Raw genomic sequence first — 25,322 nt, forward strand, 5'->3', positions numbered from 1 at the left:
AATGCATATTAATGGGTGAGGGCATTCTTTGGTGCTGGATGGTTGTGAAGCATGGTGACTATGAATGTGGGCTCTGGAGCCATATTGTGTAAACCATGTCTCAGCTTATCACCTGTGTTACAATACCTGTGCTATTGTAAGCAGGTGACTTGACCTCTCCGTGCTCCAGTTTCCTCCTGCAAAGGAGAATTAAAAATCATATCTGCCACAGAGAGTCATGATTAAATGTCTTAAAATGTGTAAAGAGCTCAGAATAGTACCTGGCATGTAGTAAACACTCAATAAATGTTAGCTCTTGTGGTTGTTATTGTTGTTCTCATTATTAGTACTGTGGGGGGGGAAGGGTCAGGTCTTAGCAGCTCCTTGTATAGAGATGACTGGTCTTTTGACATCAAATGCCACCACCTTGTTTTTTCCTTCCACCTTCAGCCACCTTGGTTATCATGGAGCTTCAGCCTCCCATACAACTCTCACCCACAGTGGTTAAGGGTGCTCTTCGCCCTTCGTGGGACCTGTGATGGCCACCCCAGGTTCCTGCACCCTCTTCTCTGTAAGACTCTGCCTTGTCTTCCTGCCTTGTCAGATGATTCTTGAATTGTATTAGAGATAATTCTCCTCTAAGTGGCCCAATAATTTTAGTTAATGTACTTCTTTGACATCTTAGGAAGTTTATATAGGGAAATTTATGCTATGCATGTGTGTTCAGACAAATACAAACAACATTCTAATTTATAATTTTGTCACACAACAACCTTATGAATAATATATACTTATTTATTTATAATTGGTATTTATACATACAGTCGTTCCTCAGTATCCGTGGGGGATTCGTTCCAAGACCCCCTGTGGATATCAAAATCAATGATGCTCAAGTCCCTTATGTAAATTGTATAGTATTTGCATATAACCTACACACCTTGTGTATGCTTTAAATTATCACTAGGTTACTTGTAATATCTAATATAATGTAAATGCTATGTAGATAGTTGTTATACTGTATTGTTTAGAGAATAATGACAAGAAGAAAAAGTCTATACATGTTTAGTACAGATGTCACCATCCATTTTAAAGAAAATATTTTCAATCCAAGCTTTGTTGAATTTACGGATGTAGAACCCACAGATATGGAGGGCCGACTGTATTTATAATACATATTTATAATTATATGCTTATAAATAATAATTCTTACAGAACTCTTTACCTAGAGGTAGATTCATTACAGTATATTAAGGGATGAAAAAGGAAGGGCCTGTAATAGGTTTTGAACTGTCCCTCAAACCCCTGATTGCTAAATATACGAAGATTGAGAAAGTGTATTGGAAAGGCAGCAATAGATTGGGATGATTTGTTGGGAGAGGAGCATTTGAGCTTGATCTTGAAGGATAGATATAGTGAATGGAGTAGAAGGCATTGGGAGGGTATGTGGAAGACTCCAAAGATCAGTTCCCTAATTGGAAGAGGGGCAAGTTGTCTGAATGTCTCAGGCTTTGAAGGAAGCTCTATATGCAAGAACCTCAGATGTTAACAGTCAGAAGGCATGAAAAATCATTCAGCTCAATGCCCTCATTTTACAAGTAGAATCTGTCTCTCCCAAGCCACAGTACTTCCTGTTAGAACATCCTGTCTCCTGGTTATTACCAGATCTTGCAAGCTTGTCACAAAGTGGCAGCAAATACTTTCTTTCCCAAGATCAACACTAAATGTTTCCAGTGCTCTGCAGCTGTTGGCTCTTTATCTTTCTATCCTTGAGAGACTTTGAGGAAATCCCTTTTCTCTGAATTCTGTTTATGTTTAAAGAGTTTCACAGTTGATTTTGAGGCACAGCCAGTGTCAGAATCATTGAGATAGACAACAGAATGACGGACAGAGTGAACAAAGTTGAGTGCATTGCATTCTTGGGCCTCATAATGTAGATGACACAGGTGGATCTTCCCTTTACGTACTGTTCCTAGGCTATCTCATCTGTGCCCATGGTCTTTAGTACACCCTGTATGTTGCTTTCTCTTACTAGATCTTGCTGTAGAGTTCCAGGCTTATACAACTAGCTGTCTTATTAAATGCTTCAACTGATTAAGTTGAGAAACCAAATTTATGATACATAATATCATATTCATGATCTTCCTGCAAAACTATTTTTGTAATGCTTCAAGAAAAACTGGAAAAAATTCTCCTTCTGAATTTTGTATTTCCTCTTTCAGGGAATGGTACCTCCAACCAAAATAGAAAGTTGGCAGTCATCCCAGATTCTAACATCTTTCTCATCATCCATCAAATCCAATTAGTCCTGTCCATTCTACCTTTGAGTACTCTCTATAACCTAGCAGGTTCTGCCCATGTCCACTGAGCTGCTTTAGTTTAGCCTTATCAACTTCTTCAGAGTGCTATAGCAGCCTTTTAACTGGCTTCTCTGCTCTCAGCCTTTCAACTGGCAATCATTTTCCACACTGCAGCCAGAGTGAGTCTTCTAAGAAGCCAATCAGATTCTCTCACACTCTGCATCAAAACTTTAATGACCATTCCATTGTCTTCAGGATAAAGTACAAACTACAGAGCATGTTGTCTGTGGCCTAGCTCCTGGCCAGACTCTGCAACCTCATTTCTAAGTGTTTCGTATTTGTCTTTTGAGTGTTAGTTAGCCAGGATCAGCTACTTGAGAGTTCTCAGAATAAGCTGTTCTCTCTTGGGCTTCATTTTAGGAATGCCATTCTCTGCTCCTCTTAGTCCCCTCTATTCTTTTTCTGAATCACTTACACTTATCTGTCAGGGCTCAATTTCCTGTGATTTCCTCCAGGAAGTCCCCCTTGATGCCCAAAGAGTGAGTTACATGTCTTTTCAATGGCTCCTGAGCACTTGGGATGATCTACAGCAAGAGGTTCTCACAGTATGGTCTCGGCACCTGTAGGGGCTCTCAAGACCCTTTCAGGGAGTCCACAAGGTCAAAGCTATTTTCATATCAACACTAAATGTTATTTACCTTTTTCACTTTCATTCTGTGTATAGCAGAGTTTTCCAGAAGCTCCATAACACGTGATATTGTAATAGATTAAATGCAGAAGTAGAAATAGAAATCCAGCCATTTTCTATTAAGCCAGACATTCATAAGATTTGAATACAGCTAAAATAATGCCATTCTTTTCACTGTTTTTGAAAATGTTCATATATTTATGTTAATATATATTATTATTTTTAGTTAATACATATTTTTAAATTGTTAAAATGAATATTGATAAAGCTCAAAGAAGCAAAAACTTTCTGGGGATCTCAATAATTCTGAATAGGAGACTCAAGATTAAAAGTTCAAGAACCATGAGTCTGCATTATCATACATCTCATGCTTTATGTTGCTCTGAACCCTTTAAGAGAAGAATCTGGGTTATGTGTATGTGAGTCCCAAGGGCCTAATACAATTTCTGATACATAGTAAACTCTCAATAAATTTTTTTTGAATAAACAACTTAATACACACATGTATGTTTACTCATACACATGGAGTTCGAACAAAAAAAGGCAATTTAGTCCTTACTTCAGCTGGCCTAGTGCTATCCAATAGTGTACTCAATTTGCTAAGCCAATAGTACTTTGAAGTTTTACATTATTCTTAAAAACTCTAGTTCTGTACTTTTTTTTTGACCTCTAGAAATCTTTTCTAAAAGATGTCTATGAAAACTTTAAAAATGAACAATTAGGTCTGCGTACTTGATTACACAGCACCTAAGTTCTTCTGGCTCAGCTACCTACTGGTGAGTGAATGTTATCTGTCAAGTACTTAATTTTTTTTTTCTTAGAGACAGAGTCTTGCTCTGTCACCCAGGCTAGAGCGCAGTAGTGAATCAGAGCTCCTGCAGCCTGGAACTCCTGGGCTCAAGCAATCCTCCCACCTCAGCTTCCAGAGTAGCTGGACTACAGGTGCACACCACCCTGACCAGCAAGTGTTTTATTTTTTGTAGAGATGGAGTCTCACCATATTGCCCAGGCTGGTCTCAAACTCCTGGACTCAAATGATCCTCCTGCTTTGGCCTCCCAAAGTGCTGGGATGACAGGCATGAGCCACCGTGCCCAGCCTACTTACCTTTTCTGAGCATCAGATTCCTCATCTGTAAAATGGAGGGAGCTTTGAACTAGATTAATTCTAAGAGCCTTTTGAAAATTGGGTCTGTGCTTCTAATCTCTATGGGAACCTTTCTTTCTCCTTTACCCCTTTCCAAACAGATGTGTTTAGATAATACTGTTTTCTGTCTTCTTGGCTCCCATGACAGTACATTGGTTGAGTTGTTAGCATTTACTGATTTGCCGCCCTGAAGCTCTCTGGTAGAAAGTTGGCCGTAGCATTTTCTTGCTCGTTCAGTATGATAAACTCTTCACATGGAATTCCAATTTTTTTTCTAAAAATAATAACTTTATTATTGCTGAATAATAATTTTGTTATATATTCCCTGGAGGAAATTTAGAGTACTTAGATAAACAACAACTCAACAATCACATGTAATCTTTTGAATAATCTTAGTATTCTGCAAATACTCCCATCAAGCCACACTCACTCTTGTTCCAGATATTTGATGTGCAAGAGTTCTTACTAATCAGGAAAGTATTTAGAGCTAATCTAAACAAGGAATAAAACAACATTTTCAGGTCTGTACTTCAGTGTCAAGGAGTCAGCCCTTTTCACTAAAACTTTATAGATATGTCCAGAAATGTTTATTTAAAGTGATTGATTAGCCCTAGCAAGGCTGGAGGAGACTTTGAACTGTAGAAAAAAGAAAGAAACAATGAGCAAGTGGAAAAAAGAGGAGAAGTGGGGGAAGAGAGCAGAGGAGTGGGGAACAAAGGAGGGGAGGGGCTGGAGAAGAGGAAAGAGAAAAAAGAGGCAAAACAACAATAGTCAAGGAAGAAAGAAAAGAAAGGCTGAAAAGAGAGAGCACAGAGTACAGGAAGAATGATCTAAAATAGGGCTCTGATAGGAATGATTGAACTGTGACAAGAGCTGGGGTTCTCAGAGAAGCTTGGAAAATAGGAGTGAACAACAGAGAATGTGACTGTCCTTTGTTTCCTCTCTATGGACTTTGTGGGAACAAATCTGGTTAGAGAGAGAATATAGCACAGTAGTCCAGAGCTTAGACCCTGGAACAAAACTATTTAATAACCACTTAATAGCTATAGGACCTTAAATAAATTACATAACTTCTCTATGCCTTAGCCTCTTCATCTGTACAATGGGGAAATTTGACTATTCAATAACTTCACAAGTTATTAGTAGGATAGATGGTAGATGTACCTAAATGTTAAATATTGTTAATTATAATACTAGATATGAAAAACCTACAATTAAACCATTAAACTATCATAATCCTAAATTCTAAGTTATGAGTATCTCAGGTGCTCATTTGAGACTTAAAGGCAGATAAAGATGATCTGATCTGCTTATCCAGTGTCTTGGAGGATTGGGGGTGCTTGAAGCAAGGTCTCACCTAGAGCAAGTCTGCCAAGCTTTGGGGCAGTCATACTACCTGAATGAGGGGTCCCCAGCTTCATACCTGACAATGTTGGGAGCTTGTAAAGTGTTTGATCTTGTCTGTGCTTCAGTTTCCTCACTATAAAATGGAGAGTGCAGTAATATTGTATCATAGGGTTGTTGTAAGGATTATGTAAGTGCCTGGTGTGTAGTAAGTGCTCAGTTAATGTTAACCTATTGTTTGTTCCAGTTTATTCCCATTTTTTTATTTGTACCTATTTTTATTAGACTTTGATGATATGCATTCCAATCTTGTTTTGCCCTTAGAATGACTGATAATTTCTTTTTATAAACCCATAGGGAGCAACTGAATTCAAAATCTCTAGATTTGTTAGATGAATCCCTTTCCCATCATAAGAGTTAGGAATCTTTCTGGGTTCTTCTTTTCCCAGTTGAAACCACTATAAATAGTATTTGAAGAAATTGTGGATTCAGTGTAATATTCCTTCTACATGATGCTGAGTTCAGAATAGAACTTCCCACCTGGGTAGCTTTAGATAATACCATTCCATGCCATTTTGCTCTTTCTTTCCCACTGACAGTTTTTACCTTTATTCTGGAACAATTTTATCAGGAATATTTTTATATTCTAAAGCCTTCTCATTCAACCTTTAGAAAAGAAGCTAAATATTTCATTGGGCGTTTCAGTATTTGAGTTTTTTTGGTGGCATCACAGTCAACACTGACTGAAACCATTTTATTTTCTCTTCAATCTTTGTTCTAAAAGCATACACGATCTTTCCTCTTCTGTCAATTACTCGTACTGTGTTGGATTTTCTAGGTAGGAGTGTGGGTATATAAGTTAGGTAGTAGAGTCCAAAGCACAGCTTTTAACTCTCTAGCACTTTGTCTTGAGCCCCTGGGCCTTGGTGGCACATTAAGTATATAGTTAGTTGGTTGGGAAAGGTAAATTGCATTTGAGTGTTGTTATGCAAAAATCTAAATCTAGTCATTTTATGTAGAAACTATGTGTATAACGAATTATGCCCAAAAACGGAAGATTATATATGTTGGTAAATATGTATGTAAAAATCTCAATGCATAATTTTGCTTCTAAATAAAGTTCTAATTTTACTTTTCTAAAAAAGGTTCTAATTTTACTTACCTTATTTAGAGCCTAAACAAACCTTTACTGTGGATAAGAGGATCATGATGTCCTTTAGCTCTTATTTTTTGGTAGCCCCATTGCTGATGTAAAGATAGGCTCCAAAGAATGTAGCCCGTTTTGAAAAATTAAGTCAGATTATTCTGAAACTTGTGACAATTAGTAGAGAAACGTGATGCCCTCCAGATCCACTGGTCGGGTAGCTGGGTGGTGAAATTCTTGCTAACCTGCGGGTTCAGATGCTGCCCCCGTCATGCTGTCTCATTGACCATGTGAGGTGAAAGCCATGACTCCCTCTTCTAAATGCCCAGAGCATTTGCTGCCACCCCCTATATTGTGACTGTGTGGGAACTTTTTTTTTTTTTTTTTTTTTTTTTGAGACAGAGTCTGTCTCTGTCACCAAACCGGAGTGCAGTGGAGCAATCTCGGCTCACTGCAACCTCTGCCTCCTGGGTTCAAGTGATTCTCGTGCCTCAGCCTCCTAAGTAGCTGGGATTATAGGCACATGCCACCACGCCCAGCTGATTTTTGTATTTTTTCTTTTTTTTTTTAGCAGAGACAAGGTTTCACCATATTGGCCAGGATGGTCTCTATCTCCTGACCTTGTGATCTGCCCACCTCGGCCTCTCAAAGTACTGGGATTACAGGTGTGAGCCACTGCGCCTGGCCCGTGTGGGGACTTTTAAAATCCATCTCATTGCCAGCACCTAGTACAGTGCTGTAGACTTAGTGAATAATAAAACAATTTTGAGATAAAAGATGAAATTGGAACTTTTGTGAATTAGGAATGATTTTTTTTAAATAATCACTTATCAAGCTCTTGTTTTACATCAGGCTTTAAACTATACTTTTCCGATTGTCCTCATGTAATCCCACGGTGAATGTTACTGTCCCCATCTTACAGATGAAGAAACTAATGTTCAGAGACATTAAGTCATTAGGTATAAACTAAATGACTCAAATTCAGTTTTGTCTGGCTGTAGCAACTGTTTTCTTAACATTAGCCACACTGGCTTATGAGAAGCACTTTTTCCCCTCTTTTAATATACCCTTCCATGTCCCCCCAAATTAATCCTCATTTAGTTCTTCTCTTCTGATTCCTGCAAGTGTCATAGTCAAGCTGTTAAATCATCTGACTGTTCATGATTTCATACGGTGCCAGTGAGGCTTTCTGGATTCAGGTACTGAGTTTGCCACCTTCTAGCTGTAGGGTATTGGGCAGACTTCCTTACCTCTTGGGCCTCACTCTTCTCATCTGTAAAATGGGGATAACTATAGTACCTACCTCACAGGGCCATTATGAGACTTAAATGATCTACTTGTACAAAATACTTAAAACAGGTTCTGGCACATAGTGAGTACCATCTGAGGGTTATTTGTTTCAGCTAGAATTGTCCAGATGAGAGCATAATAGTTTAAAAGGTTCAACAGCAGAAGCTGACTTTTTTTTTTTTTAATATAGTGAAATAGGCCAGGTGCAGTGGCTCGTGCCTGTGATACCTTTGCTTTGGGAGGCCGAGGTGGAAGGAACACTTGAGGCCAGGAATTTGAGACCAGCCTGTGCAACACAGTGAGACCCCCATCTCTACAAAAATAAAAATAAAAAAATTATCTGGGTGTGATGGTGTGCACCTGTAGTCCCAGCTACTCAGGTGGCTGAGGCAGGAGAATTCCTTGAGCTCAGGAGTTGGAGGCTGCAGTGATCTATGATCATGCCGCTGCACTCTAGCCTTATCTCTAAAGAGACCCTGTCTCTAAAAAATAAATGAATAAATAAATACATAAAATGTAATGAAAATAGTTCACTTTTTTGATACTCTTCAGCAAGTTTCTGTGTGGAGGCAGCTAACTCGATCTAGACTGAGTCAGACATCATGCCTAATTTCTCTGTCCACTAATAAATATGAATTACTCTGAGGATGAATACACACACATTCACATACACTTCCAAACAGCAAATACCAAAAGGAATTAGCAGTTCAGGAGGGTGGCTCAACTGCCTTCTGAGAACTAAGGGCCATGTCCTCTGTGATTAAACTGAGTCAAGCCCATCTGTAATTGAGCACTGGTAGAATGGGCTCATTCAAGCATGTAACGCCCTTAAATTTTTCATTTAAATTTTCTGTGCCTTAGAAATGAACTTTACAGTAATCTTTGCTTTCTAAAAATAAATGTGTTTCTTGTTAAGCATTTAGTCTCATCACAAATTCTGTTTTAGAAAAAAACAACAGAAAATAGTGAATGAGAAGGGTAGGAGACTTAGGACTCAGCGAATTCTATCTCAGTGCCAAGACTTTAAAACTGGGAATAAATGCTACTTCTCCATGACCTGGGTCTGATAATTTGTCTGCAGGAACACTGTTTCTAGAGGGTGGTGTGGTACAGTGGGAGGAATAGACTTTGGAGTGAGATCCATGTTCAAATCCCAAGTCACTTACCTTCTCTGATCCTCAGTTTCCTCATCTGTAAAATGACCATAATCAACACCATCTCGAAGATTTGTGGTGACAACACAGCATTTACTTCCTGCTGTATACTTCCCATTTCCTCTTGTAGAGACAGAATTTTCCACTTTATTTTAATCTATAATTATATAATCCCGTTTAAAAATCACCCTTCGACTTTCAGTTCCACAAGGCAGGGGCCATATCTTGTTTTCCATTATGTGGCTGTTCCCTGGCCCCATATATGGCACAAGGAAGGCCCTCCTTTTTATTCTAGCTCCATATGACAGCCTTGCCAGAGGGCAAAGGTAACCGCCCAGACAGTTTATATTTAACCAAACAAGGCTTGTTGTAGAGGAGAAAGAGTTAGGAAAAGAAATAATGAGTATTCTTAACTTGTTGGGAGAGTGTAGCACTTTGCAAGATTTGACTGTAAGTGTTCACTGTGAAAATCATCTTCAAGTGTATTTTAGCCAGCCAAAGCCTCTAGCAAATTATTTTTCACAAACCAGTAAGTATACATTTGCATGTACTTTCACGGTGCTTCTTAGTCTTTAAAGAGATTGATGTTTTAGAAAGTTTAAAAGTAACTTTTTACCCTCACGAAGGAACTTTCAAAATGCAAATGATTTGAAAGTAGGAGGTATGCTGACAACCACTGGTAGGAGGGCCAACCACTGTTCCATTTTCTTCTGTTTGATGACCAGGATTTCTCCTGGGGGTTGAATCCTGGCTTGGTGCCAAACAAGGGTCTACAGACTCTCAAAGCCTGTATAAAATAGGAGCATGACAAAGAAGGAAACAGTTAATCCATGAGAGTGGGCAGGAGGACAGGATCTTGTGGACTAGGTCACTCTCCATGTGCTCCTGGACAGCTTGTCAGGGAGGCAAAGAAAAGTAATGGAAGAAGCAGCAGAAAGGGACAATAAGGACACTGGTAGAAAATAACAGGAAAGACACTGAACAGATACAGCAGGAGGAGTTTGAACAATGAAGGCTAAAATGCAGCCTTTCAAAGGTTTGTAATTCAGCCTGTGGCAGAGAGTAGAACATGCATAAAATGTACTTTTCATGTAGTGCAGTGGTGGCATTGGGTTATATCATGAAGAAAATCTGATTTTTATAGTCCTCTGACTTTCCAGAGAAGTAAATTTGAATTCAGAATATTAGAAACACACATAGGTAGGCCAATACTAAGAGTGAGAACAAACTTGGTTACAGACAGAATTCCGATACAGATATAATAATTTCACAATATCCAGAAGAGTGTCCCAACTCTTTATTTATTGTAATCTTTTTTGACTATTAAAATTACTTGAATTCAGGCCTTAGACATGCTATATGTTCTGCTGAAATTTTTGCCACAATGATATTTATCTTTGTATTTTCAGCAATGTCTAGTAGTGTGCTTTTTCACACATAGAAGGCACTTAATAAATATATGTTAAATGAAAAAATAAATGACCAATATTTGTTGCATTAGGATTTGATCTGTGTTTCAAAATAATTTTTAAATTTTTTTTCCATTTTCGTATGTCATCCTTATTTTCTTTCATTCACACCACAAAGATGCCAGCAGAGCTTCTGAAAATGGGCATCAAGTATTTGTTGTGTGTGTCCAAATGTGAATACACCTGCACATCCACATGGTCTGTGTATAGAGGGGCACTTTCTTGGTCTTTCTAAGCACATCTCTTGATAGGGGGAGAGTACCTAGTACACTGTCCACTGTACACAGAAACCCGGTGATAGTACACAGATAGAGGGGGCTGAGTGAAGTGGAAAAATAGCATGTGATAAAGGTATCATGAATTGAATGGACCCCAATTTTGCTTTCTTTCATGATTTCTGTTTATATTCTTGAGGCTACACATAGAAGCAGGAAGGGAGGTCGAAAGCTAGATCTCCCTAAAGGGACGGGGTGCTTAGCTTTTATTATAAGTTCGGAACACTGGGATATCTCAGGTTTCTATTGTGAGTGATGAAACTTTTTAGTATTGGCAAGAAAAGAGATAGGAAATGTGCAACAAATAAAAAGTTGTGAGGGTGGGATATAACTCAGAAGAAACCCAGAGAGAATCCTTGAGAGGACTCCTGTTTCCCCTATATCAGACAGCCTTGTTTTGCTATCTGGCTGGGATACACAGAGGTGCCATCCGGAAATGTTCACCCAGGACCAATGGGTTTTGTCTAATCTGCATCTCACAGATTTCAGCTAACTATGTAATCATGGTTCTGTTAGGAAACCTGACACATTGTTTAGTGCTTTTTGGCTAAGACTAACTTTTATGATGAAGCAACCATGCACTGACATACACACACAGGTTATTTGTGTTTGTTTTTGAAGGGGAGAAGATAGTGCATGGTTTTTTAACTAGTTACATTTCAAATAACGTCTTTCACTATTTATCTTCTTGGATTTAACCACTTGTTCCCTAAATAATATACTTTCTGACTTAATTTTCTCCCCAAACCAATTTATATGTACAGATATAACAACACAATTCTAAATACAATAGTAAAAACTGTTTAATGCTGCAAGAAGTATAAAGTACTATTTTCATCTCCCATTTATAAACCATCTAAATTCTGCTTTTCTGACTAGCATCCACAGATGACAGACAATACTTCTGTAAGTCCATCTGGTCAGCAAAGGGTCTCTTAAGTTTTCACGAAAATTTTAATTATGAGAGTATCGAGAATTAGGACTGGAGTTCTAACAGACTCTGCCCTTATTTCTGCTCACAGATTTACTGTACACATCTGAAGGGATCTATGGTAAACATCAAGTCAGATATGAACCTGTGAAATATTCTGATCCCTAGGTAGTCTACCAGATAAAGGAGTTTAGGAAATAACATTTTGAACACATGGGACACTCTACTGAGAAGACTGAGCTTGAGTAAGTGTAACTTCGATATTAAAAGAGTCAAGTATTTGGGAGGAAATGAAAAGCAAAGCAACTCTCAAATTTATGCAAATGCAGGAAAGGCGAAAGAACAGACAAACTGATACCCTGAAGATAGGAGAAGGGGCAAAATGAATGATCTTGCATGGATTCTTGGCATTTGGAAAGAGTTGCAATATGAGAAAATTAGAAAAAAAGGCTGAGTTTGGTAGATCACCAGAAAATTCACTTAGTAAGGGAATACATTGTATGAAATTTCTGAAACCTTCTCTGTTGGACATATTTTCACCTCACCTGGAAGAAAATCTTCTGAGTGATGACCAACAGAAACCTCAATGATGTTGTCAATCAGTTTAGGGTTGGAGTCTAGGACTGGAGGAATGTTAAACTACCATATAGTTCCCAGCTCAGCCAATTGCAATTGTGTAGGTCTCAGTTTGTGATTATGATGTCTCTAAGATGATATTTCTCATTAGTTTTATCAAATCTAACCAATTGGGATAGATTTTTGAAAGAATATAAATGAGAAATCTTGCATTTGTGAAATCTGGTTGTGATATGTATCCCTGGGTGTGACTCTCCTTGGAGACTTGGTACAATAGAGAGATTTTCAATAGGAAAAGCTTTTGGAAACATGTATGAATATGGGAAACCATATGATGTACCACTATGTGGGATGATAGACTGAGCTCTATCTAAACAGGTTGGCAACACACCAGAGCATGGCAGTATGGTATGATCTGACTCTATGGGACTCTGTGCCCACATCTCTGCTTTGTCCCCCTCTAATAAACAATTTGTGTTCCTGAGTGTTATTTGTTTTTTTACTTACCACTCTCCACAATTCCATTTTCTCTTTTTCTCATGATTTTTTTTGAGGTAATCTAATTGCTTGAATTAAAGGTTTATGAATCTTAAAATATTATCTAGGAAAAACCCTAATGGCAAAACCTAGCTTGTGATAAACATTATAAAAAATATTTACTTTTACCTCTTTCCACTTCAGTGTCAGGACATCCTCAGTTAAGCATTAAAAATATTAATCAAGATTATTTGAAAGGCACATCTGAAGAATGGGTTAAGTTTAATAGGGAAACGGCATCTCAACCCATTCCTAGTTATGTGTGGAAGCCTGCCCTTGCTCCTTATGACCTCCAGGTGGTGCTGTTTACCCAGACACGGAAAGCAGGAGCCCAGCCCCATTTCTTTCACTTAGGTTTGCAGTTGGGCTTTCATATTTTCAAAATATTTTCTGTTTCTACAGATGTATACTTCTAAATGGCCAATAAAATTTTATAACCACTATTTGAAAAATTGCAAGGTTATTGTGATTTGTGCTTCCTAGCCAAGAATATATCTTTATGTCTGTACATACCCGAAGTCAAGTATTTATGTTTGTTCATTGGTCCCACTTTCTACGCTTCCTTCCTTTGTAGCACACAGGCTCAGACACAGACATTTGGGCTGTGGACAGAACTCGTCCAAGGACCTGTAAATACTTATGTAATTTTGAAATATATTTCTAGTTCAGCTATGGCAACTAAACTCCACAGGCTTCTGGGTGAAGAACAACATCTTTACAGGAATGCCAATCCCTGTAAAGGATTTGGCAATCCCCCAAAGCCAACGAGTGTTCCTAGCAGACCTGACCTGATTTTTTGGCAGGGGGATGCTTGTCAGACACCAGAAATGTTTTGATGTTTTGAGGTCACCCATACAGTGACACCCCACAATCCAATCCAAATTCCTCAGAAAAGTGATTCTAGAGAAAAACTGAGAGGGAAGCATTGACAGTTTCTTTCCCATTTTGGTAAGAGTTCAGGTCCAGGAATAGTGGAAATTCCATTACAGCAAAGATGAAACTAGGATAGGAGTGCGGTGGGATCGATTTGATCATGGATAAAATTTGGAACTTTTAATATTGGCTTTTTACAGAATAACCAACTAACATGCCTTTCTTGCCCCTTTTTTTCCCCTTTTCTTTCCTTTCACAAGGGGTTTGTAAACAAACTGGATGAATTCATTCAATGGTTAAATGAAGCCATGGAAACTACAGAAAATTGGACTCCCCCTAAAGCAGAGATGGATGACCTTAAACTGTATCTGGAGACACACTTGGTAGGCAAGATTGTGTTGTTCTTGCTGTCAATAATCAAAGGATTTTAATGTACTGCTTGTTTGTTTATGAGAAATATCAATTTTATTTATCAAAGGTTACTATATGTCAATGAAACCAAATTTTAATGGGTCACAGAAGATGAAAATTTACAGGCATTTCAAGTAATACTATGAAACCTAAATCATCTCTGTTTCAAGCTACCTTTTCAAAGCTTTTCCTGGAAGGATAAGTAATTATTTAAAAATACCTTAGAAAATTTTATTAGACCCTTGTTCTCTAAAGCAGCAACTGAAGGTTTTCCCTTTCTTAAAAACAAATAAATGAAAGAGATGATTTTGATGACCATTCTAAGCTTTCTAGAATTCTTGTAAAATTAATGAACCTCTCATTATCAAGAGGGTCTACATTATCTGTTCTACACTGGGTTATTTTAATAAAATATTTAAAATGATGATCTCCATCATTTTTGCTGCTATGTGGGTTTTTCAGCATATAATTAATACAACTGTCATTACACTCATCCCTGTGCATAGAGAAAACCATGGAGGGGAAGTGGAAAACACTCAGATGAATTTGCTTCTGAATGTTAAAAGCAAGAATTATAGACTGGGGGACATTCGATGAACCTCGTGGGGTTTTTACTGAATGCTTCAAATGGCCGATATCAATTATGAAGGGGTGGAAACTAAGTAGTGGAGTGTGATAAAGCATGAAGAAAAAGCACGTGTCATAGGAAATGAAAATTCAAGCTGTAAGGATCTCATCTTTATTCCTTTCACTGATAGCATAAAATTGACAAAGGCAATGAACATGAATCCTTGGGTACTCAACTGTGGGGTTGATTTTCTGCCCCTCTTACACACTCAGAATTTGGATTGAATAAACATTATGTGGGAGTCCTACCTGTATGCGAGTTCACAGGGTTCCAGAACTGTTGTTCTCTATGATGTTAAGTGAGAGAGAGAAGGGAGAGATGGAGAGGGAGAAAAGAGGGGAAAGAGATAATGTTTCAGGTTTTGGTGTTTGTTTTTTGCAGCATGTTTATATAACAGAAAAACAGCTTTAAAATCCTGTTGCTGCATGCAAATAGCCTTGCAGATGATAAAGAATGACAAAACTGTGTGGTAGAGGATGAGTGTATTGCTTCCCTTTTTAGAGACCTGAGTCGATGGTGTGTAAAAATGCAAGTGACCCTAACCACCTCTCTTGTACATGGGTTTTTATATACTGTCCTTAGTACTCATTTCCCTGTTGAGTAGAGTTTCAACTTTTTTTTAAAGAGGGCATTTCATAATAGCAAGATAAAGATATTCAGTGCTTTATGATGTAAATTGTATTAATTAGAATGTCAACTTTTCACTGGCATTGTTCTGACAGAAATTCTAATCTGTGTTTAAACAGGAGTATATGAACTTTATTTCACATTAAGTGTGCTGTCTTACTTTCTCTTGACTTAATATTTTATGGAAAACACACATTTAGTTTTTGAGGTCCCAGAGGGCACAAGGGCATGAAGAGCACTTTAACTCTGGACTATTTATTGAAAGCCGGGCTAGGAGAGTATGGACCCAAGGTCCCTTTTTCCCCTTTGGAGGTTGAATGATATGGCCTCTTTGTAACCAATGAGCACTCTCTTTTTCAAATACAGTATTACAGGGTTTCTTACTTGGCATCCTTATGTTAGCCTCTACTTCCTTCTAGCCCAATGCAGTTCACTGGAGCTTTTGGTGACGATGGAATATTCTATATTGCCCTCTCCTATGTGGGGGCCACTAACTGCATGTGTCTATTGTGCATTTGAAATGTGGCTAATGCAACTGAAGAAATGAGTTTTTAATTTTACTTGACATATTTAAATTTAAATTGCCACATGTGGCTAGTGACTTCTGTATTCTGTCTAGCCTTACAAATTGCCAGCTTTTTATAGGTGACCGTAACGAACGGCAATATCTGTACCTGCCTCGTAATGACATTTTCATCCCAAAATGTGGAAGTTATTCTCCAGTTTGCTGTGGGCCACCAGTATAAAGATCCACAGCAAAGAGTCCTTCTTAAGATATTTATTTCTTAAAGAATAGTCTTGTTTCTGCCTAATGATCAACATTTTCTTAGATGAGTTTTCTCTACTATCCCATGTCTGATTATATTGATTGGAATAGAGATATCATAGAACATCTTCTTTATTTCTACTTTGCAAATAGTGAGGGACTTTGATCTACAGACCTGTTGACTGGATGTTAAATTACAGTCTCAAATTTGACTTCCAAAATAATGAATAATAATGTCTAACAGTTACTGAAGACCTAGTGTGTGTGTATTGCCACTGAATGATATTCTTAAAGCGCAATCAAGAGCTACTGTTACACTGGATGCTGTGTCTGTTACTTTAGATACAGCCTGTGGCTCAAACATCTTTCAATCAAATTCTTAGTTTTCCTGTTTCCATATGAGTCTATATTGTCCTCCTGATCAATATTGTCATTTTTATTGTATTTCTTTACTGTCATGCTGAATTAATGATAAGTTATTCTTCTCAACCTTCCCATAAAAGAAAATGTATGAATAAGCCTAGAGATTTGTATTCTTTAGTTAACCGTGCATAAGTCATTATTGTTTTTTAATGAGGGGGCAAGTGGTATTTGCAAGATTATCCAGTAGTAGAGGTAGCTACACAAGTTTCTTTAAACATCTCTCTAGACTCTATATTTGACATTAAATCAACAGATATGCAAGCCTCTAGGGTCTGAGTCTTCCCTGGTTTATTAATGTGTTAGACTAGCTGGCAACCTCCAATATTTATTATAAAGAAAAATATAAAAATCATACTCAAAGTTGTATGTTCATACTTTGATACTTAATTCAGTTATTTTCCATGATGGTACCAAGGGTTTTCACCAACACAAATCAATTAAAGCTTTATAATACCTTTATAAGAGATATGGAGGAGCTTTATTTTAACTGTAAGAAACACTGTGAAATTGCAATGATACATCAATGATTTTCCATGATAATTAATCATCTGCTTGCAACCTGGCTGCTCCTTTCAAAAATACAATTCCTACCTGCCTAGAAAATGACATTTTCAGGAAAATATCATTCTGGAAAGGTATTTTGCAAGTGTTGAACATTCCCTCTTCTTTGAAAACCACTTTAAGATAGAATTGTATAGGTATGTTCTTGGACAGACTTCTATCTCTCTCCCTTCTCTCACCTCTGTCTTCCTCCTACACTTAAAAAAACAGCTTTATTGAGGTATATTTAACACATAATAAATTGCACATTTTTTTCCCTTTAGTCACACTCTTCATTTTATTTTATTATTATTATACTTTAAGTTTTAGGGTACATGTGCACAACGTGCAGGTTAGTTACCTATGTATACATGTGCCATGCTGGCATGCTGCACCCATTAACTTGTCATTTAGCATTAGGTATATCTCCTAATGCTATCCCTCCCCACTCCCCCCACCCCACAACAGTCCCCAGTGTGTGATGTTCCCCTTCCTGTGTCCATGTGTTCTCATTGTTCAATTCCCACCTATGAGTGACAACATGCGGTGTTCGTTTTTTGTCCTTGCGATAGTTTACTGAGAATGATGATTTCCAATTTCATCCATGTCCCTGCAAAGAACATGAACTCATCATTTTTTATGGCTGCATAGTATTCCATGGTGTATATGTGCCACATTTTCTTAATCCAGTCTATCATTGTTGGACATTTGGGTTGGTTCCAAGTCTTTGCTATTGTGAATAGTGCCGCAATAAACATACGTGTGCATGTGTCTTTATAGCAGCATGATTTAAAGTCCTTTGGGTATATACCCAGTAATGGGATGGCTGGGTCAAGTGGTATTTCTAGTTCTAGATCCCTGAGGAATTGCCACACTGACTTCCACAATGGTTGAGCTAGTTTACAGTCCCACCAACAGTGTAAAAGTGTTCCTGTTTCTCCACATCCTCTCCAGCACCTGTTGTTTCCTGACTTTTCTGTCTTCATTTCGTTATGTACCCAGTAGTTATTCAGGAGCAGGTTGTTCAGTTTCCATGTAGTTGAGCGGTTTTGAGTGAGTTTCTTAATCCTGAGTTCTAGTTTGATTGCACTATGGTCTGAGAGACAGTTTGTTATAATTTCTGTTCTTTTACATTTGCTGAGGAGAGCTTTACTTCCAACTATGTGGTCAGTTTTGGAGTAGGTATGGTGTGGTGCTGAAAAAAATGTATATTCTGTTGATTTGGGGTGGAGAGTTCTGTAGATGTCTATTAGGTCCGCTTGGTGCAGAGCTGAGTTCAATTCCTGGGTATCCTTGTTAACTTTCTGTCTCGTTGATCTGTCTAATGTTGACAGTGGGTTGTTAAAGTCTCCCATTATTATTGTGTGGGAATCTAAGTCTCTTTGTAGGTCACTCAGGACTTGCTTTATGAATCTGGGTGCTCCTGTATTGGGTGCATATATATTTAGGACAGTTAGCTCTTCTTGTTGAACTGGTCCCTTTACCATTATGTAATGGCCTTCTTTGTCTCTTTTGATCTTTGTTGGTTTAAAGTCTGTTTTATCAGAGACTAGGATTGCAATCCCTGCCTTTTTTTGTTTTCCATTTGCTTGGTAGATCTTCCTCCATCCTTTTATTTTGAGCCTATGTGTGTCTCTGCACATGAGATGGGTTTCCTGAATACAGCACACGGATGGGTCTTGACACTTTATCCAATTTGCCAGTCTGTGTCTTTTAATTGGAGCATTTAGTCCATTTACATTTAAAGTTAATATTGTTATGTGTGAATTTGATCCTGTCATTATGATGTTAGCTGGTTATTTTGCTCGTTAGTTGATGCAGTTTCTTCCTAGCCTCGATGGTCTTTACAATTTGGCATGATTTTGCAGTGGCTGGTACCGGTTGTTCCTTTCCATGTTTAGTGCTTCCTTCAGGAGCTCTTTTAGGGCAGGCCTGGTGGTGACAAAATCTCTCAGCATTTGCTTGTCTGTAAAGTATTTTATTTTTCCTTCACTTATGAAGCTTAGTTTGGATGGATATGAAATTCTGAGTTGAAAACTCTTTTCTTTAAGAATGTTGAATATTGGCCCCCACTCTCTTCTGGCTTGTAGAGTTTCTGCCGAGAGATCCGCTGTTAGTCTGATGGGCTTCCCTTTGTGGGTAACCCGACCTTTCTCTCTGGCTGCCCTTAACATTTTTTCCTTCATTTCAACTTTGGTGAATCTGACAATTATGTGTCTTGGAGTTGCTCTTCTCGAGGAGTATGTTTGTGGCGTTCTCTGTATTTCCTGAATGTTGGCCTGCCTTGCTAGACTGGGGAAGTTCTCCAGGATAATATCCTGCAGAGTGTTTTCCAACTTGGTTCCATTCTCCCTGTCACTTTCAGGTACACCAATCAGACGTAGATTTGGTCTTTTCACATAGTCCCATATTTCTTGGGGGCTTTGTTCATTTCTTTTTATTCTTTTTTCTCTAAACTTCCCTTCTCGCTTCATTTCATTCATTTCATCTTCCATCACTGATACCCTTTCTTCCAGTTGATCGCATCAGCTCCTGAGGCTTCTGCATTCTTCACGTAGTTCTCGAGCCTTGGCTTTCAGCTCCATCAGCTCCTTTAAGCACTTCTCTGTATTGGTTATTCTAGTTATACATTCGTCTAAATTTTTTTCAAAGTTTTTAACTTCTTTGCCTTTGGTTTGAATTTCCTCCTGTAGCTCGGAGTAGTTTGATCATCTGAAGCCTTCTTCTCTCAACTTGTGAAAGTCATTCTCCTACCAGCTTTATTCTGTTGCTGGTGAGGAACTGCGTTCCTTTGGAGGAGGAGAGGCGCTCTGCTTTTTAGAGTTTCCAGTTTTTCTGCTCTGTTTTTTCCCCATCTTTGTGGTTTTATCTACTTTTGGTCTTTGATGATGGTGATGTACAGATGGGTTTTTGGTGTAGGTGTCCTTTCTGTTTGTTAGTTTTCCTTCTAATAGACAGGACCCTCAGCTGCAGGTCTGTTGGAGTTTGCTAGAGGTCCACTCCAGACCCTGTTTGCCTGGGTATCAGCAGCGGTGGCTGCAGAACAGCGGATTTTCGTGAACCGCGAATGCTGCTGTGTGATCGTTCCTCCGGAAGTTTTGTCTCAGAGGAGTACCCGGCCGTGTGAGGTGTCAGTCTGCCCCTACTGGGGGGTGCCTCCCAGTTAGGCTGCTCGGGGGTCAGGGGTCAGGGACCCATTTGAGGAGGCAGTCTTCCCGTTCTCAGATCTCCACCACTGCTCTCTTCAAAGGTGTCAGACAGGGACATTTAAGTCTGCAGAGGTTACTGCTGTCTTTTTGTTTGTCTGTGCCCTGCCCCCAGAGGTGGAGCCTACAGAGGCAGGCAGGCCTTCTTGAGCTGTGATGGGCTCCACCCAGTTCGAGCTTCCTGGCTGCTTTGTTTACCTAAGCAAGCCTGGGCAATGGCGGGTGCCCCTCCCCCAGCCTCGCTGCTGCCTTGCAGTTTGATCTCAGACTGCTGTGCTAGAAATCAGCGAGACTCCGTGGGCGTAGGACCCTCTGAGCCAGGTGCGGGATATAATCTCCCGGTGCGCCGTTTTTTAAGCCCGTCAGAAAAAGCGCATTATTAGGGTGGGAGTGACCTGATTTTCCAGGTGCCATCTGTCACTCCTTTCTTTGACTAGGAAAGGGAACTCCCTGACCCCTCACGATTCCCGAGGGAGGCAATGCCTCGCCCTGCTTTGGCTCGCGCACGGTGCGCTGCACCCACTGTCCTGCGCCCACTGTCTGGCACTCCCTAGTGAGATGAACCCGGTGCCTCAGATGGAAATGCAGAAATCACCCATCTTCTGCATCACTCACGCTGGGAGCTGTAGACCGGAGCTGTTCCTATTTGGCCATCTTGGCTGCTACCCAAATTGCACATTTTAAAGTACAGTGGTCCCTCTTATTCGAGGCGGATGTGTTCCAAGCCCCACAATGGGTGCCTAAAACCTCAGATAGCACCACACCTCATGTATACCATGTCTTTGATCTGATAACCTGGATGATTACTAAGTGACTAATGAGCAGGTAGCATATACAGCATAGAGATGCTGGGCAGAGGGATGATTCACGCCCCAGGTGGGACACAGCAGGATGGTTCAAGACTTCACCACACAACTCAGAATGGCGTGCAATTTAAAACTTATGAATTTTTTATGTCTGGAGCTTTGCATTTATATTTTCAGACCATGGTTAACCACAGGTAACTGAAACTGAAGATGCAAAACCATGCATAAAGGGGACTACTGTATACAATTTTATGAGTTTTGACAATCTGACAAATATATACACCCATGAAACAATCACTGCAATTAAGATAGTGAACATACTTATCACCCAAAAGGTTCTTCATGACACGTTGTAATTCTTCCCTCCTACCCCTCCCTGGCCTCTACTCCATCCCTAAGCAATCCTTGATCTGCTTTATGACACTATTAGGTTAGTTTGCATTTCCTAGGATTTTATATAAATTTAATAAAACAATATGTATTTTTTTCGGTCTGTCTTCTTACATTCAGTGTACTTATTTTGGGATATGTTATGTTGTTTCATGTATCAATTATTAATTCTCTTGTATTGCTGAGAAGTAGTCTATTGTATGGATATACCACAATTTGTTCTATCCATTCACCTGTTGATGGACATTTAAGCCATTTTCCCCAACACCTTTTTTATTGCCTTAAGAAACAGAGTTACTAAAAGCTATATTTGAGTAGAAGCATAATAAATAGAAGCATAGTGAATAACTGTCATAAATAGTTCTTGGGTAACTAGTTTTTTTTTTTCCCCTTTAAGAGATTTTATAGTATCCTTAGAATTAAGAGTAAAGCAGCAGAGCAGGTCAGCAGTTTCCCCCTCTAGAGATTTTATTTCATATCCATTTGCTCCTGAAATGGTAACTCTGATTTCCCAAGTTGTTATGCATACCTAATTCATCAAATGTAATCATTCACAAGGAGACAAACCAGCGCTTCTTTTATCTGCAGCCAATCAGTATATTCAGTAAGAATAAGTGAAGTCAAACCAATACCAGACAGCTGTGCAAGATGTAGGAAAAACAATCAACCACAAGAGCCTGGCTTAAACTTAGGAAGTATAGTTGCATAGATAGCACCGTGTTATTCTGGACACACGTTAACCAACCACATAGAAATAGCCTTGGAGAAACAAGGTTCTTAATTCAATTTGATAAATGAGGACTGTGGGGGAAAATGGTGACTATGAACTATATATATGTGTGTGTGTGTGTGTGTGTGTATGTACAACACAACTGTAAGTGTGAGTGGTTATTTAGGTGCTAGGAATACATGATGAATGAGCTTGGTTTCTTTCTTTAAGGGATTTTCAGTCTAAGAGAGGTAACGATAGATTATATGTAGTCATCTATAGACCCATAAATGACTAACAATTTTAATCAGTAAACTTCTTGTAGGATAAGCAAAGTATTCTTAGGAGTGCAGAGAAAAATTTTATTGGTTCTTTCTGGGAGTAGGGAACCTTCAAAGAGGTAATTTGATATAGACCTCAAAGGCCATATGTAATTTTGTTAGGGAAGGGAGGATGGGAGATGGGAGGAAAATTTATAAGCTTGGTGAGAGAGGTATGGTGAGCCATGTGGTGTAGCTGAGACTAGATTGGAGTCTCACAGGTTGGGGCTGGGTGGTAAAGGAGTTTGAATGTCTTTTTAATGGATTAAACTTTCCTCTGGGGGCAATGGGGACTCATTGAAGGTCCGGGTTTGTTTTAAAACAGGAGAACGACATGAAATCAACCATATATTTGATGGGGGTAGGGTCAGCCTTCATAGATTAACTGGATGAGGTTCGTGGCTTAGGTGAGAGAATAACTCTGTGCATGAAAGAAAATGGATTTGGGTATAGTATTTGAAGGATATGCTGGTACAGGCAAGCTTTTATCAGTTTTATGAATTGTGTTTAAATTAAAAAATTAAAGAAAGGGAGTAAAAGGTTAAAGTCAACAGTAAGTCCCCTTTTTACTCATGTTCCCATTGATTCTCCTCCCTCGAGGCAACCAATGTTCCTTGTTTCATTATATCATTTCTGATTTATTTCAGGTATTTAGAAACAGGCTGGCCATGGTGGCTAATGCCTGTAATCCTAGCAGTTCGGGAGGTGGAGGCAGGGAGATCACTTGAGTCCAGGAGTTTGAGACCAACCTGGCCAATATGGTGAAACCTCGTCTCTACAAAAACACAAAAATTAGCTGGGTGTGGTGGCGCGTGTCTGTAGTCCCAGCTGCTCAGGAGGCTGAGGCATGAGAATTTCTTGAACCCGGAAGGCAGAGGTTGCAGAGGTTGAGCTGAGATTGCGTCACTGCACTCCAGCCTGGGCGACTGAGGGAGACTGTCTCAAAAAACACAAAGAAATATATCTATGTACTTAACTTTGTTCCTGTAGTTTCTATTAGTAATAATTCGAAGTCAATAAATATAGAATGACTTCATCCTTTTGGATGGCTGCATAGTATTCTACTTACAAATATGCCATAATTTACATAACCAGTTCTTTGTGATGGAAATTTAGGTTGTTTACAGTCTTTTTCTATTACAAATGATGCTTTAGTGAATATCCTTGGAAATTCATCATGTTGGGTACTATAAGTATATCCTTAGAACAAATACCTTTCATATGAAATTTCTAGGTCAAGCTTAAGCATATTTAAATTTGTAACGTATTACCAAACTGTCCTTGATAGAGATTTTACCAGTTTATACTCAACAATGCATGAGAGTGCCTATTTCTGCATATTCTTGCTATCAGAGTATGTTATTACATTTGTTGAACTTTGTCCCTCTGATAGTTACAGATGGCATCTTACTGTAGTTTAGTTTGTATTTCTTGTCTTCTAAGTGGCATTGAATATCTCTCCATGTTTTTAGAGTCATCTGTATTTCCTTTTTGAGAACTATTTTTAAAATTCTTAGCCTGTTTTTCTGTTGGTCATTGTTTTTTTTGCTTCAGGATTTATAGGGGCTTTCTATATATTAAGGAAATTAGTCTCTTCTCTGTGAATAGGAAATTTTTAAAAAGTATTCTGGGGTTCTGTTCTAAAAGCATACGGATATCTCAACAGTTTGAGGAATCAAAGGTTAGGCAGACATGGAGGGCCAGGCTAATAAGCATGTAACGGGTTTCTACTAGGGGGCAAAAGCACGTTTGGATTCCAGTTCTGGAAAGACCAGTGTGTTCTAGGGAGTTTGCTTACTTAGACTAGGAAGGAACAAGCTTAAGATCAGGGTAGTTATAATCAAATGAGTGGGTTAAAGAATGTTGGAGTAATGAGAGAAATGGTGAATCAGGGCTAGGTGGGGGTAGTTAAGAATAGAGAAGAGGGAATAGATTCAAGAAAGAGGAACAGATTAGAGAGACATGCCAGCCGTTCTCTTTTTGAGGCTCACTCTTTTCTAGTCAGAAATCTCATGACCAACATGTTTTGTCTGTCCTAGTTTCCCCTAAGGCTATAGCACAGGACAGCCCACTGCTCTACAGCTGGGCAAGATTTGAGTGTAGTAAAGGATGCAGAAATTGCTGAGAGCTTCTCTATCTGTATATGGAGCAGGACCAAGACCCTAGGACCATTCCAGGGGTGTGTGAAACCAGGTAACGTGATATTATAAGTAGTATTTACATGGAAAAGAAGGGGCAAATGTCGTACAAGTACAGTGAGTATCAGGGGTACATGGTAAAGGTGGAGCAAGCTGTCTTTTATACAACTTCTATAATTATGGAACTTTGCTTAAAGAAAAACATTAAATTATACTTACTGGAAAAAAATCAAATTGTGTTAAACAGCATAAAATTAAAAGTAAAAAGTCTTACCCTCCCTTGGGTAACCAATGTAAATAGTTCTATACATTTTTGAACCTTTTTATGGAAAAATGCATACACTTTAAGGATTATTTAGTTCATATTATACATGCTGTTCAACAACTGGCTTTTTCTATCTAAATATGTCACAGATATTCTTCTATCAGTATATGAAGATCTATTGCACATTTTAGCAGCTCCTTAATATTTTATTGTGTGGATATGCCACAGTTTATTTAATCATTTCCATGATGATGGGCATTCAAACTGCCTTCTTATTTATGCTTTTGCAAATAATACTCAATGAACTTTATTGTAACACCAATTGAGAGTTTCCTCCTTGTCCCATTTGTGTCTGCCTAGAGCAGCAATTCAGAGACTCTCTGTAATCAATC

The 25,322-nt window shown here is 38.7% G+C and overlaps 1 protein-coding gene across 12 annotated transcripts in view; it reads left to right on the forward strand.

Annotated features, from left to right (window-relative positions):
• Positions 1-25,322, forward strand: part of AKAP6 (A-kinase anchoring protein 6) — a 508,387-nt gene that overhangs the window by 233,861 nt on the left and 249,204 nt on the right. For all 12 annotated transcript variants that reach the window (XM_047431969.1, XM_047431966.1, XM_024449755.2 and 9 more), the window contains one exon: positions 13,962-14,084. In XM_047431969.1, the coding sequence (XP_047287925.1) occupies positions 13,962-14,084 (123 nt within the window). The remainder of the gene's footprint in view (positions 1-13,961; positions 14,085-25,322) is intronic.

This window comes from Homo sapiens, chromosome 14, assembly GCF_000001405.40.
Source record: "Homo sapiens chromosome 14, GRCh38.p14 Primary Assembly".
NCBI classification, from domain to species: Eukaryota; Metazoa; Chordata; class Mammalia; order Primates; family Hominidae; genus Homo; species Homo sapiens.